This window comes from Homo sapiens, chromosome 4 (genome assembly GCF_000001405.40).
Source record: "Homo sapiens chromosome 4, GRCh38.p14 Primary Assembly".
Taxonomy (NCBI): Eukaryota; Metazoa; Chordata; class Mammalia; order Primates; family Hominidae; genus Homo; species Homo sapiens.
Genome location: NC_000004.12, coordinates 154,328,506 through 154,343,222, shown reverse-complemented (window position 1 = coordinate 154,343,222; position 14,717 = coordinate 154,328,506). Strand labels below are relative to the sequence as shown.

The 14,717-nt window shown below is 38.2% G+C and overlaps 1 protein-coding gene across 2 annotated transcripts in view; it reads left to right on the top strand.

Annotated features, from left to right (window-relative positions):
* Positions 1 to 14,717, top strand: part of DCHS2 (dachsous cadherin-related 2) — a 260,058-nt gene that overhangs the window by 148,577 nt on the left and 96,764 nt on the right. For both annotated transcript variants that reach the window (NM_001358235.2, NM_001142552.2), the window contains exons 4-6: positions 8,119 to 8,355; positions 9,729 to 10,745; positions 13,513 to 13,700. In NM_001358235.2, coding sequence (NP_001345164.1) covers positions 8,119 to 8,355; positions 9,729 to 10,745; positions 13,513 to 13,700 — 1,442 coding nt within the window. The remainder of the gene's footprint in view (positions 1 to 8,118; positions 8,356 to 9,728; positions 10,746 to 13,512; positions 13,701 to 14,717) is intronic.

The following is a 14,717-nucleotide window of genomic DNA, read 5'->3' as shown; positions in this document are numbered from 1 at the left end:
TATAAAAGGAACAACAGAGCCTGGATGACAAACAGATGTTATCTGTTTACAGATATCATCTGTCTACAGCCTGGTTTACAGAATATTTTAAACCCACTGTTGAGACCTATTATTCACAAAAAATTCTTTCAAATCATTACTGCTCACTGACAATGCACATGGCTACCTAAGAGCTCTGATGAAGATATACAAGGAGGTTTTTTCTTAATGCCTCCTAATACAAGATTCATTCTGCAATCCATGCATCCATCAAGGAGTAATTTTGACTTTCAAGTATTTTATTTAAGAAATACATTTCCTAAGGCTATAGTTGCCATAGATAGTGAGTCCTCTGATATATTTGGGTAAAATACATTGAAAACTTTCTGGAAAGGATGCACCATTCTAGATGCCATTAAGAACATTTGTGATTCATGGAGGGAGGTTAACATAGGAGTTTGGAAGAAGTTGACTCCAACCCTCACAGATGACTTTGAGGGAATCACCACTTCAGTGAAGTGGTAAAAATAGCAAGAGACATAGAATTAGAAGTGGAGCCTGAAGATGTGACAGAATTGCTGCAATCTCATGATAACACTTAAACTAATGAGGAATTGCTTTTTTGGATGAGCAAAGAAAATGGTTTCTTGAGATGGAATCTACTCCTGGGGAAGATGTGAACATTGTTGAAATGACAACAAAGGATTTAGAATATTCCATATACTTAGTTGATAAATCATCAGTAGGGCCTAGGAGGATTGGCTCCAATTTTAAAGAAGTTCTAATGTGGATAAACTATTAGCAAATAGCATTGCATGCTACAGAAAAAAATATTTTGTGGAAGGAAGAGTCAATCAATGTGGCAACCTTCCTTGTTGTCTTATTTTAAGAAATTGCCACAGCCACCGCCACCTTCAGTAACCACCACACTGACCAGTTAGTACCCATCTACATTGAGGCAAGCCCCTCCACCAGCAAGAAGATTACCACTCACTAAAATCTCAAATGACTGTTAACACTTTTTTTTTTACCAATAAAATATTTTTAAATTAAGGTATATACATTGTTTTCTTTAGACTTACTGTTATTGCACACTGAATAGGCTACAACATAGTGTAAACATAACTTTTTATGCACTGGAAAATCAAAAAATTTCTGTGTCTCACTTTTTTTTGCAGTATTGGCTTTATTGCAGTGGTCTGGAATAAAGCCCACAGTACCTCTAGAGCCCTTCAAGTTCAAAGACAAGTGAATTTACCAATTGTGTTGATTTCTTTTGATGGTTATATTTAGTTGAGTATAATGCTTTCATTTAATTAAAAAAATAAAATTAAAAAGACTAAACTTTTGGGCTTCTGGAAATAATTAACCCAAGGATTCAGCACTTTCAGACAGGAAATACTTCTGTCTGATATTACCTGGGAGATTAAGGTAAAACCATGGTAGGTTTAAGTGATTAGCCTATGGATACGCACAGAAAACAGTGGAGCTTCTGATGTTATTGAAAAATTACTTAGAGCCTAGTAATTGATGGACAGGTTTTTTGTTCACACAATATTTATAATCCCATTACTACACAGGAATTTTTGATAGATCAGCATATTATATATAGATAGATATGTGTGTGTATATATATATGAATGTATGTGTATATATATGAATGTATGCATTACGATACATATACAGTATATAGAGTGATGGTCTCTACTTCTAAGACTTCTATGAAATGAAAAATGGAGGAATATGATAACAGGCATTTTCTTTTTAAAACCTAGCGGAAAACTGAGATTTCAGAGATTTACCTTGTATGGTTAGGTGCTTATAGAGCGGTGTTTTGAAATACTTGAAAACGTTCTCTTTTTTTTTTTTTTTTTTGAGACAGAGTCTCGCTCTGTCTCTCAGGCTGGAGTGCAGTGGCGCGGTCTCGGCTCACTGCAGCCTCCACTTCCCGGGTTCACGCCATTCTCCTGCCTCAGCCTCCCAAATAGCTGGGTCTGCAGGCGCCCGCCACCACGCCCGGCTAATTTTTTTGTATTTTTAGGAGAGACGGAGTTTCACTGTGTTAGCCAGGATGGTCTCCATCTCCTGACCTCGTGATCCACCCGCCTCGGCCTCCCAGAGTGCTGGGATTACAAGCGTGAGCCACCGCGCCCGGGCGAAAACGTTTTTTCAAATTATTAACAAGGCACTTCCCTTTGAGAAGTAAGGTTCACGATTCTCCCCCCACATAAATTCATTTCTTTGAGTGGCTACCATATGCAAGGTTCTAAGCTAAGCCCTCTTCATAATAGCTAACATTTGTGTGATGTTTCACTGTTTACATACAACTTTAAATTTCGTTATCTCCTGCTCACCTATAACTGACAGCTCTTATTTGTCTTTGTTGACGTTACACTTAGTTACTGATTGGCTTGTATAAATTCTTTAAGGGTAAAGATTCTTGAAAAGGTTACATTTGTATAACTCTCTATAATTGATGTCATGTCTCCCTTTTTCTTCCCTTTTCCTTTCCTTCAAATTTATTTGATAACTCATAATATGGCAAATAAAATGGACATTCATCAGTAAAATTTTGTTAAGACAGTAAACTTAATTTTGCTTCATGGACTAACATTCCAGGTGGTATCAAGGATAAAATAAGTGATGTGTTGCTTCTTGCTCCCCATTGTCAAATCATCGGGAACCTCAAAAACTATTATTAAACTGTCTCAATTAAAAATGCCAGTTTGGGGATTTGGAGGGGCTATAATTAGACACCAAATAGTTCTATCAGAGAGAATATTTTTCAGTACCAGAGTGAATATAGTATAGATATTAATTTTATTAGACTTCACATTTGCTGTATGTTACTAGGACACACTTTAGTAATTTGAATATTTGAAACATTATTTTTCATGTTCGGCTTTATATAGACAGCTTCTCCAGAGTTTGTTTATTATAACCTCAGGGATTGATTTAATGGAAATTAATCCCTTTAATATCTTCATTTAATGGTTCTGAAATATCCATGATATTCATTCTTGAAATTTTTTGTAGAATTAGAATCCTATTTTTAAGGAAGTGTGCTCTGCAATTATTTTTAGAGGCCCACATTTTAATGTCCAATCTTAGTTTACACTATAGTTTACAAGTTTCCTTCATAGTCCTAAAAAAGTTAAATAATAACCAAACATATCTTCTTTTTCTGAATATCTTTAAAATATATTTTTTCATTTACAAAGTTAACATATAATTATTAAAAAATTTTTAAACTATAGGAATGTAAGAAGTAAAAAGTGAGCTTCCCATAATCTCAACACACAAAGATGACTTCCCTTAACAGTTCCTATCCTTTCATATTTTTCAGTATGCATAGTTCTGTGTGTATACACATCGTATATGTATTAGTGTTTGTATTCAAACTTTACATAGTGTTCTGTAATCAAATATTCTCAGCAGGTTTTCATGAATTTTTCTTTTACATTAAATAGAGATATACCATGATTTTAAAAATGTTTGGCTGGGCGCGGTCGCTCACACCTGTAATCCCAGCACTCTGGGAGGCCGAGATGGGCGGATCACAAGGTCAGGAGTTTGAGACCAGCCTGGCCAATATGGTGAAACCCCTCTCTACTAAAAATACAAAAATTAGCTAGGCGTGATGGTAGGCGCCTGTAGTCCTAGCTACTCAGGAGGCTGAGGCGGGAGAATCGCTTGAATCCAGGAGGCAGAGGTTGCAGTGAGCCGAGATCACGCCACTGCACTCCAGCCTGGGCAACAGAGTGAGACTCCATCTCAAAAAAAAAAAAAAAAGTTTGTTCATGTGATTATTACTTTTATGTGTTAACTTGAATAGTCCACAAGATGCCCAGATAGCTGATTAAACACTGTTTCTGGGTGTCTCTGTGGGTGGATTTTCATTTGAATTGGTGAACTGCGTAAAGCAGATGGCCAGCCCTAGAATGGGTGAGCATCATCTAATTCACTGAGGGCCTGAAAAAGAACAAAAAGGTGGAGGAAGGTTGAATTTGCTCTCTGCCTAACAGCTTGAGCTGAGACATCAGTCTCTTGCCCTCAGTGCTCCTGGCTCTCAGGCCATCAGACCCTGACTAGAATCTACACCACTGACTACCTGGCTCTCAGGCTTTCAAACTATACCATCAGCTTTTCTATGTCTCCAGCTTGCAGATGGGTGAACATGGGACTTCTCAGACTTCATAATCTCAGCCAATTCCTTAATGTAAATCTCACTTTATATCTATCTATTAATGTCTATCTATCTATCTCTATATGTAGATATGAGAGATATAAGATCTATAGATATCTATATCTACAGAGGAGAGATCCCATTGGTTTGCTTCTCTGGAGAATCCTGGCTAATACTTGTAGTATTGACATTATTTTTTCAAGCACAATGGATTGATAACATAGACTCACGTTTGCAACTTGTTTTTCACATAAAATGTAGTGTGTAAAGTCTTTCTAGATGAAAACATGTATATTTACTTCATTTTGATGCTACACAGTATTCTATTGTATTGATATACCACAATAGAGTGCACTGTCCATTCTTTTCCTGATGGATATTAAGGTCATTTTCAGTGTTCCAAATGACATCCTCTTGATTTATTTCTGTGTACTTACACAAATATAGAGTAGATTTCTGAGTTATTGAGTGTGAACAATTAAAATTTTGATAAGTATCACCAAAGTGCCTTTTGGAGAATGTACATAAATAACAACCTGCTATTAACTCTGGGTATTATCACTTAAATATTTTAGGAAAACAGAGAGGTAAAAATGAGGTAGTGGTTTTAATTTTGTATTTTCATTATTATTAGTGATTTTAGGTAGTATTATATTTATCAACATTTTATTGTTTCTTATCTAAACTACCTGTCCTTATCCACTGCTAATCTAACTTTCAGTTATTTTCCATTTTGTTTACAGATCTCTCTTCTCCTTATGTATAGTAAATTGTTGTTTGTATATTTTCAAAATTTCTTTTAATTTTATTTATAAATCATTCAGTAAACTAATGAGTAAATGAAGGACTGATATAAAATATTAAAAACCGGTAATTAAGTAAGGCATGTTAAGTTCATAATAGGCACATGTACCCAGGCTGCTGCGGGATCATAGAATAGTGGTAGCTAGAGCTAAGTGGAGAGAAAGAGAAGGCCAGCTGCACCAGATGAAACCTGAGCTGTGTTTTAAAATATGACTAGAGGCCAAGTGCAGTGGCTCACACCTATAATCCCAGTACTTTGGGAGGCCGAGGTAGGCAAATCACGTCAGGAGTTCGAGACCAGGCTGGCCAACATGGTGAAACCCTGGCTCTACTAAAGATACAAAAATTAGCCGGGCATGGTGATACGTGCCTGTAATCCCAGCTACTCGGGAGGCTGAGGCAGAAGAATCGCTTGAACCCAGGAGGCGGAGGTCACAGTGAGCTGAGATCATGCCACTGTACTCCAACCTGGGCAACAGAGTGAAACTTCATCTCAATAATAATAATAATAATAATAATAAAATATGGCTAGAAATTGTTACATCAAAGAAGATGAAGAAGTTGTTCTGGGAAGAGGACGCAGCAATCCAGATGGAAGACAGCAAGGTCTTTTCTGGAAATTACAAGCTGTTCACTTTGCCTAGAGCAAAAGGTACTGTACAGAGAGCTATGACACAGAGAGCTATGAGATGGGGTTACAGAGAGGGAGAGGGGCCATTTATGAATAGCTTGGTATGTTAAGATAATGCATTTAAGCTTTACCCTGAAAAGCTGGGGAGCCATCGATGTGTCTAGATTTGGATTTCAAGAAGACTGGTCTAACACAAATATAAAAATAGTTCAGAAGGAGTCAGTCGGGATGCAGGAAGACCAGGTTGTGTTGAGGCAGACATTAAGTTTTTCATTGTCATAATCATCAGGGCTCAACATAAAATCTTTTAAAATTTCTCTGTAATCGGAATTTAGTGGTAGCTCTGGAAGAATATATACCTGGTGAGTGGGGATGTTTGGGGTAGGGGGACTTTTTCTTCTCTTCTGTACACATTTGTGTATATTCAAGTTTTATTTTTCAATCAATCAGAGACTTTAATACTAAAGCAATATTTTTTAGAAACTGCACCAATAACAGATGAGAAAGATCTGACTTGGAAATTTTTTGTGATAAGTACTGAGTGCTTTGATGGACCATCAAATCAGTCTGAAACCAGATGTGAATATGGTTACTAAAAGCTGGTGTACTAATAGTTGGTTACATTAGTATTTTATGGTATTCTAATAAAGAGTGTTTATCCTCTGCTTTATAACAGTAAAATTGTATCTGGAAACAAAGTTTGTTCACTTTGGTTATCAAAATTGAGATGATCAACTTGGACCATGTTTAGGAGAAAGAACTGTGAGAGAAATGACTTAAAATCATATTAGATAAGGAATCATTAAAGAAAATGGTTATAATCACAAATTGTCAAATTGTACACCTTAAACATATGTAATTTTATTGGTCAACTATACCTTAATAAAGCTGGGGAAAAAAGGAAAATGAGTATGTGTTTAGAGCAGGCCAAGCAAGATATTTGATTTCAGTAAATAAGAATATTTTATTAAATTTCTAATAGAAATAGAAACAAGAAATCGAAGTTGCAAGAGGGCAGATTTTTATATAAAAAAGGAAGAAATCAAATGGATGTCACCTTTTAATGCCTAGAAACTGATATCCCTGATGTTTTTGCCAACTTCTCCTAAACTGGCAAAGACTGCAGTATTCATTCATTAACTAATTGTTATGGCCAGTTGTACATGATGAATTCCATAAAGGCCAGCCATACGTATTTGTTCGCAAATTCATTTAATAAGTTTGCATACATTTTTCTCATTAAACAAAACTAACAGGTTCATTTCTTAAGTTGATTGCATTAGATCCGTTTTCAGGTTTTTAAACTAGTACACTAAGTGGTAGTATTAATAATATTAAATAATTCATTTTTGTCAGTATTACCGAATCTCTTCCCAACTTAGCCATAAATAAGTTCTCCTCTCACATACTCTACATGCATAAGCCTAAGTCGTCACTCTTGTCCCCATTGTCTTTACATTTGCTGAAGTTTTATTGTACACAGCTATTGTATTATATCTTCTCACCAACAAAGGTGGAGTGGAGTCAGTTTAAAAAGAGAGCTACCCTACACGGTCTAGTTCAGGGCAAATGTCAAATACCTTAGAAGATAAAATTTTAGTTTCATCCTGTAGACTTGGGATTCTGGCACTTGAGCAGGTTGTAATCACCCTACAACCCTGCGCTAGCCTGCATTAGAATATACTGGACTATGGGATATAATCTGATCTTCTGTCATCTCGGGCTGGTGATATGGTAAGCCCTAAAGAAGACAACACAATTTATATTTTTTCTAGTGACTTTATATACTTCTAAAATGTCTAATGTTTTAACTCTAGGAAAATATTGCTTACCTAACATAATTTGACATTGTTTTGCAAATATGCAGAAGGTCTTTGGTTGGCAAATACATGTATCAGTTCATCTCCAGAGAACAGACCCAACAGGATGTATGTGTGTGTGTGTGTGTATGTATGAGGAGACTGATCACAAGGAATTGGCTCATGTGATTATGAAGGCTGGCAAGTCCCAAGATCTGCAGGGTGAGCAGATCCATCAAACTGAGCCAGGAGAGCTGGCAGTGTTGCTTCAGTCTCAGTCCAAAGACCTGAGAACCAGGAGAGCCAGTCGTATAGTTTGAGGCTGAAGACCAGCAGGCTCGAGACCTAGGAAGAGCCAATGCTTCTATCTGAGCCTGAAGGCTGGAGAAAAACCAGTGCCCCAGGTTGGGAGCAGGAGCCATTCTCTCTTAGTCAGCTTTTTTGTTCTATTCAGGCCTTCAGTGGATTGGACCAGGCCTGCCCACATTAGGGAGGATGATCTGCTTTATTCAGTCTACAGATTTAAATGTTAATGTCATCCAAAAGCACCCTCACAGACACACTCAAAATAATGTTTGATCAAATGCCTGGACATCCTGTGGCCCAGTTAACACATAAAATAAAACATCACAATACACTTAATAGACCAGGTGTTACTATTGCTCATCAGTATTTATTACATGTTATCTGTTTACCAATGTTTTCTTTTCCCTACCCAGGAATTATTTACTTAACATTACCTCTTAGTCATTTGGAATCTACCACACTTTCGTTGATGGTCTCTGCTCAAGACGGTGGTGGGCTCACAGCTGTCATTAATGCCGATGTCACCATACACATTTTCCAGACAACTCTGGCACCTGCTGAGTTTGAAAGGCCTAAGTACACTTTCTTAGTTTATGAAGATGTGCCTGAAGATAGTCCCATTGGAACAGTGAAAGCAAGAGAGCCCTTGAGTAAGTACTTATTTCTTATGCTGCATGGAATTCCATTATTGGAACATTTCTTGTTTTTTTGTAGGCGGTACAATCTTGAATAATTTTTTTCTTCTTTCCACGCAAGTCAAAACAAGGGAGATAACACAAACTGTGGCTTGCTCTTTGTTCTTCCAACATTGTTTCTGTCCATCCCACAATTTTTTTTCTGATCACAAAAATAATAGGCATTTTAAAAAGAATGTTTAAAATAATACAGATTATAATATACAAAATATATGTCTCCTATAACCCACTCACAAAAACACACACATGTACACACAATTTACAAATTTTTGACAAAAATGCATCTTTCTATATTTGTTGTTATAGAGCTTCTTTCCCCACTTAGTATATACTGAACAACTTTCCAGATAAATGGATGCCATTCTGTTTCCTTAAAAGACAGTTTATAGTGTTTCAACTTAGATATGTTTTATGTTTACATTTGCTACCAATTTGAAGGATTTAAAAAATCTTGCTAGTCCAAATAGTACTTGAGCAAATAGCCGTGTGTGACTTTTTCACACCTGTAGAGGAACCTCTGCAGGATAAATTCCTAGAAATGAATTACCTTTCCAAAGAGCTTGTCCTCCTCCTAGTCCCCTCCTGTTCCTTCCTCTCTCCCTTCCCTCAATCTCTATGGAGAGTATTTGCCCTTCATAGGTAGATATAATAGAGTAACATCAACATAAATTGAACTTGACTTCCTCAAATATATTTAAAAAAAGGTATTTGAATTATTTTCTGAATATCTTTCCCTTTTATCTAATGCAAGAGGGATGAAGGAAGAGAGTGAAACCTGTGGCTTGCTCTTTGCCCATTGGACATTCTTTTCGTACACCAAAAAAATTCTTAAAACCGTGTGTCCACTTTTCCGCAGGCTTTGGAGAGTGGAGAAAGTAAGACATTGCACAGCAGTCTCTGTAGATGGAGAATATACAATCATGCGTCCTTAACGATGGGAAATGTTTTGAGAAATGCCTCATTAGAAAATTTTGTCAGTGTGCAGACATCACAGAGTGTACTCACACGAACCTGGATGGTGTGGCCTACCAGACACCTAGGCTAAATGTTACAGTCGATTGCTCCTAGGCTACAAACCTGCACAGCATATTACTGCACTTAATACTGTAGGCAGTTGTACCCCAATGGTAAGGATTTATGTATGTGAGCACAGAAAAGGTACAATAAAATACGGTGTCAGAATCTTACGGAACCATCATAGTATATGTGATCCATCATTGACTGAAGTGTCATTAGGCAGTGGATGACTGTATTAACATTTCAATTTCTGAGTTTCCAGTGGGTCCACCCTTTTGACATACAGTGGTTGTCCCCTCTCTCTTTTTCAGACTCCTCAGAACCAATCTTTTACAGGATTTCTTCTGGTGATCTCGGCGGAAAGTTCTCCATTCACCCGCGGCTGGGCACTATTCGCACCCGGAAGCCCCTGGATCACGAGACGCAGCCCGTGGTTGTGCTCACGGTGCAGGCGCAGCTCGGCAGCGCCCCAGCCTGCAGCAGCACCGAGGTCAACATAACAGTCATGGATGTCAATGACAACCACCCAGCGTTCCTCAGGACCTCGGATGAGATTAGAATATCCCAGACCACGCCCCCTGGCACAGCCTTGTACCTCGCACGTGCGGAAGACAGAGACAGTGGGCGGAACGGACTCATCCGGTACTCCATCGCCAGCCCGCAGCCAGGCGTCTTTGCCATCGACAGAGCCCTGGGGGTGCTGTTCCTCAACGGCAGCCTGGGCGCGGGCGAGCAGCGGGAGCTCACGCTGACTCTCAGGGCCGAGGACCAAGGCGTGCATCCTCAGGCAGCCCTGCTGGTGCTGACAGTCGTTATCGAGAAACGCGAACACAGCCCATCCTGGACTTTCGAACATTTGGTCTATCAAGTGGAAGTCAGTGAGTCTCTCTCACCGATGACACAAATGCTGCAAACACAGGCGCACCCACTTGGCCCCCAGCGTGCAGCCTCGCCTCTTAGGTACTCGCTGGAACCCAGCGTAGACTCTGCTATGTTTGGAATCCGCCCTTACACGGGCTGGATTTATTTGCGGCGACAGTTTGACTATGAATCCACCCAAACATATAATTTTAGAGTGTTTGCTTGGATCCCCGAGGACGGATTCTTGCAAAATGTGAGCACTACAGTCATTGTTCGTGTCTGGGATGAGAATGACAATTCCCCCACCTTCTTGCATGATGTGTTGTTTTTGAAAGTCGAAGAGAGCCCTGTTCCCCAAGGGGTAATAGGCAAAATTACAGCTATTGACATGGACTCTGGAAAGAATGGACAGCTATTATATTTCCTTTTGTCTGATGGAAAATTCTTCAAGATGAATCCTAATACAGGTAGCACTTCATAGTTTCCACCTATTCCTTTAAAATGAGGGTTCAGTACTATCACACTCGTCTTTAAGTAAAAATAAAAATAAAAAATTAAACAAAATCAGGATTGAGAAAACTCAAGTCGTTAGGTATAGCATTAGTGCATACATGCAATTGAAATAATGGTTTTTAATAAATAAGGTATTCGATTACTCTATTGTGAGGTCTTAAAAATGGATTAAAAATTGAATAGAGTTTCACCCATAATAATTCATACTTTCCCTGCATCACATCCCCATCTTGCCAATATATGGTTCTTTTTCTGAACTAGAGGTATAGTCAGAACTGGATTGAATATATCCTTGTGTAAAGGCTAATTTTTTCAACAACCATCCTTTTCCATTTGTAGACATTTAAAAAACGTCAAAACGTATTTTGTGAAATATAAATATCATCAATGTAAAGCTAGACATCAATTCATTGGTTAAGATTTCAAAATCACTCTAAGAATATATATCCTTTTTCTCATTCTGACAGGGGAACCAGAGGAAAAGGGGGAATAATTACAGTGAAATTTTTAAAGTCTGAATTAAGAAATTAAAGATTAAAAGTCACTATATTTTAAAATTTATGTTGTATAAGTTTACGGGGAGTTTATTTAATCCTTACAATGAAACATATCTATACTGCAAATACATACCCGGGAAAACTGAAACTCAGATAGCTCGAGTAGTACACCCAAAGTCATGGAGCTGGTAAGATGAGAAGAAGCTCCCTTTTTGTGCAGGTCCAGCAGGCACCATCTATGTCATAACCTGGGCAGATGGTGCTGCTGCCTTTAGTGGGACAGACTTTGCATTCAGTTCTGATGAACTTCAAGCCTTTGTTCTCAAGTCTCTGTTCTGTGAATTAGGAGAAGGTGACCTTTCACAGCAGATGGAGGGTTTTCACAGGGCACATGGCTTGCCAAGAAGGTTGCAAGCTGCCTTTCCACTCTCATTCACTCCCTAAACTGAGACTCCTGCTGCAAGGGCACAAACCATACAGCTATATGGGATGACCCTGCTTGCACTTTACTTCCATATGGCTAGTTTTCAAGGTCTTCTATTTCACTTGTTTTTTTCTTTAAAATAAGCAAACTACAGTTGATTCCCCCGTGATCTTCCCTCCCCTACAAGAAAACGAGGTGTCCATTCCTAATTTCATTGTATGGCTTTAAGCAAGTAGCTTAAGCTCAGAGCTGCTTCCTTACCATGAATACAGGAGACAATTCCTGACACGCCCTGTGCCATGCTTTGAGGGGTAAAGAGCTAAAGAATATGAAAGGGCTTGGAACACTACGTGCTTGTAAACTGTTCCTCCTCCCAAGGACAGCATGGCAAGGCAGGGTGGAGGGTGTCCTTCAGAGCCTGGGAGACACACCCCCTTTTCATCCAGTTCTCTGGACAGTCCTACAAGTGACCAGGACTTGAGCTCCTGTGGAACCATATCCTGGTGTCGCCCATCCCCAGCTGCAGCCTGAGCTGCACAGTCTTTTACATCCCCGACCTCCAAGGCTGCTGCTTATCCATCAGATTTGCTTTATGAATAAAAATCTGTTTGCCATTCAGAAGTTAAGGTCTTCGGAGGAGAATTATAGTTTGGAATTTAAAAAAAGCAATTGTGTGTATGATCTATATTAAAACCACCGAGTAAACACTATAAATATAGTTTATATATTAACAGTAAACAGTTATCATAAACACTGCATTTAAGCTCACCAATTCAGCAACTTACCTAAATGAGAATTTTCATTTTTGTTCCCTGTTTCCACTTTTTTTTAATGCAATGCTATTTTATTTGTATTAAGAGGAAAAAAGTTTTTAGCCACAGAAATGTTTGTCGGTAGCTGCTTCATGCTCACATTCTCACAGGTACATTTTTTTTTCATAAATGGTGAGGAAATCAATGCTTGGCAGAGCTCTGACAGGCTATTGGACCGAGTGCTTGTCTTCCCAAGGTCCCTGGCAATAGGAAGAGGCACTTAGATGTTATGCCTGGGTCTGCATGGCTGACACATGAGGAAAGTTACTGAAGGTAGTATAGCTCTAGGCAGAAATATTTGAAATAAAGCTTCTAAAGCATTAAGAGTTTTTATAGGAAGTCACTATCCACTGCTACATGTATATTTTGTGAGATAAAAAACAAATACTTGTGTGCATAAAACAAGAACTATTGCCTAAGGGATATTATTTGATTTCCAGAAAGGTATTTAGCCATTATGTTAAAGTAGTAATAACAGCTTCCACTTGTGTCGTCATGTATAGCTTGCACAATACTTTTAAATGTGTGATTACATTTCTTCCTGACAGCAGTCCCAGGCTCAGAGGAGTCATTCCATGTCTGAGATGGGGAAACTGGGGCCAAAGCCAGAACCTGTGTCAGAGCTCACATGCTTTCCATCATTCTGTATAGCAGCATAAAGAGGGATAAGCAGCAGTTTTAAATCTTCCAAATCATTACTAAGTTCCCACGGAGTTTTATCATTTTTATGAATTCATTGTTTATTAGTTCAAATGATCGATGGATGATAATTTGAAATACAAAGAATAACAAATTTAAAGTGACATTTTCAGGAGCAACTTGAGAAAATTTTTTCAACAGTACCATAGAGCCAAACTACTATGTAGATGGTCTTAGAAGTCGCATATTTGCTCAAAGCTTTGTACTTGGTTTTCCTTCTGGAAATGGTTCTGGCCCTGGTGCGCCTGGTACACAGTGCCTGTGTCTTGTTCTGCTCTGTACTCTGCAGGAGAGTTAATCAATTGGGTGGCACTGGATCGTGAGCACCGGGGGCACCATGAGATGACTGTGCTAGTGACAGACCGCGGCTCCCCACCACGAAACGCCACCATGGCGGTTTACGTCTCAGTTACTGACATCAATGATAACAGGCCCTTCTTCCCCCAGTGTCTCCCTGGAAAGGAGTTACACGTGAAGGTTTGTGAAGAAACCTTGCAATGAATTTGTAATATCTTAAGTCATTTGTTTTGAGCACCATCTTGTGGTAAAACCTGTGAATTTATCACATCAGTCTTGGTGTGGCAAAGCATACTTTTTCTAGAAGACCTAGATACTGTGCACATGTTATTTTAAAAGAAAATTTTTAAAAAGTAAATGAATATATGTGCTCTTTGGCATTGTACCTCCAGTTGCTTTATAACAATAAGTTTAGTTCAGCCCCTTGTACACAAACTGAATGGTGCTTCAGGTTAATGCTCAGACATGGCTTGTTTTTCCAGTAGTTTACGTGCATCTCTTTGTGCAGAGCTTCTTAACGGCAATTGATACATGTCTCTAAGATAGTTACTTAAGGGTAGGGGAACAACCTGTAGCTCTAAAGTGGGTAGGTGGAAATCCAGAGATAGTAAAAGTTGATCCTTTTGATCACATGCACCAACTGGCAATTATATTTATATTATCTCATCTTTTTCATTTGTCTTTTTGTATGTTGTATAATATACATAATAAATTAGAATATCAGTTCATTCACATAATTAATAAATATGTTTGGACCTACTAATAATTTTTTTAGTGGATGGGTTATAATAATGAAAAGTTTAGAAGCTACTGTTCCAGAACAATTGAATTAGACATTCAAATTGTGCTCAAATATACATATTGAACAACTCAACAAAAGTATTGAGGAACTCATAACTTTAAACTGATCTGAATCCAGCTTTAAAGAAAAATTCTAACAAAGCAAAATATTATTATATCATCATTACACTTTTTAATCATATCATTAAAATGTCCTGTGGCTTAATTGGGCAGTTGGACTCTAAACATGTAGTTGAACTTCACATGTGCATTTCAACATTGCAGGACAGCTCCTGATAATTGGTATGTCCTGCATGAGTTTTGTTTTCTGAATTAAAGGTTCATACTTATTTTAAGCATATTTTAAGCCATAGCAACCACCTTTCAAAAAATGTCCTAAGAGATGATGAATGAGAA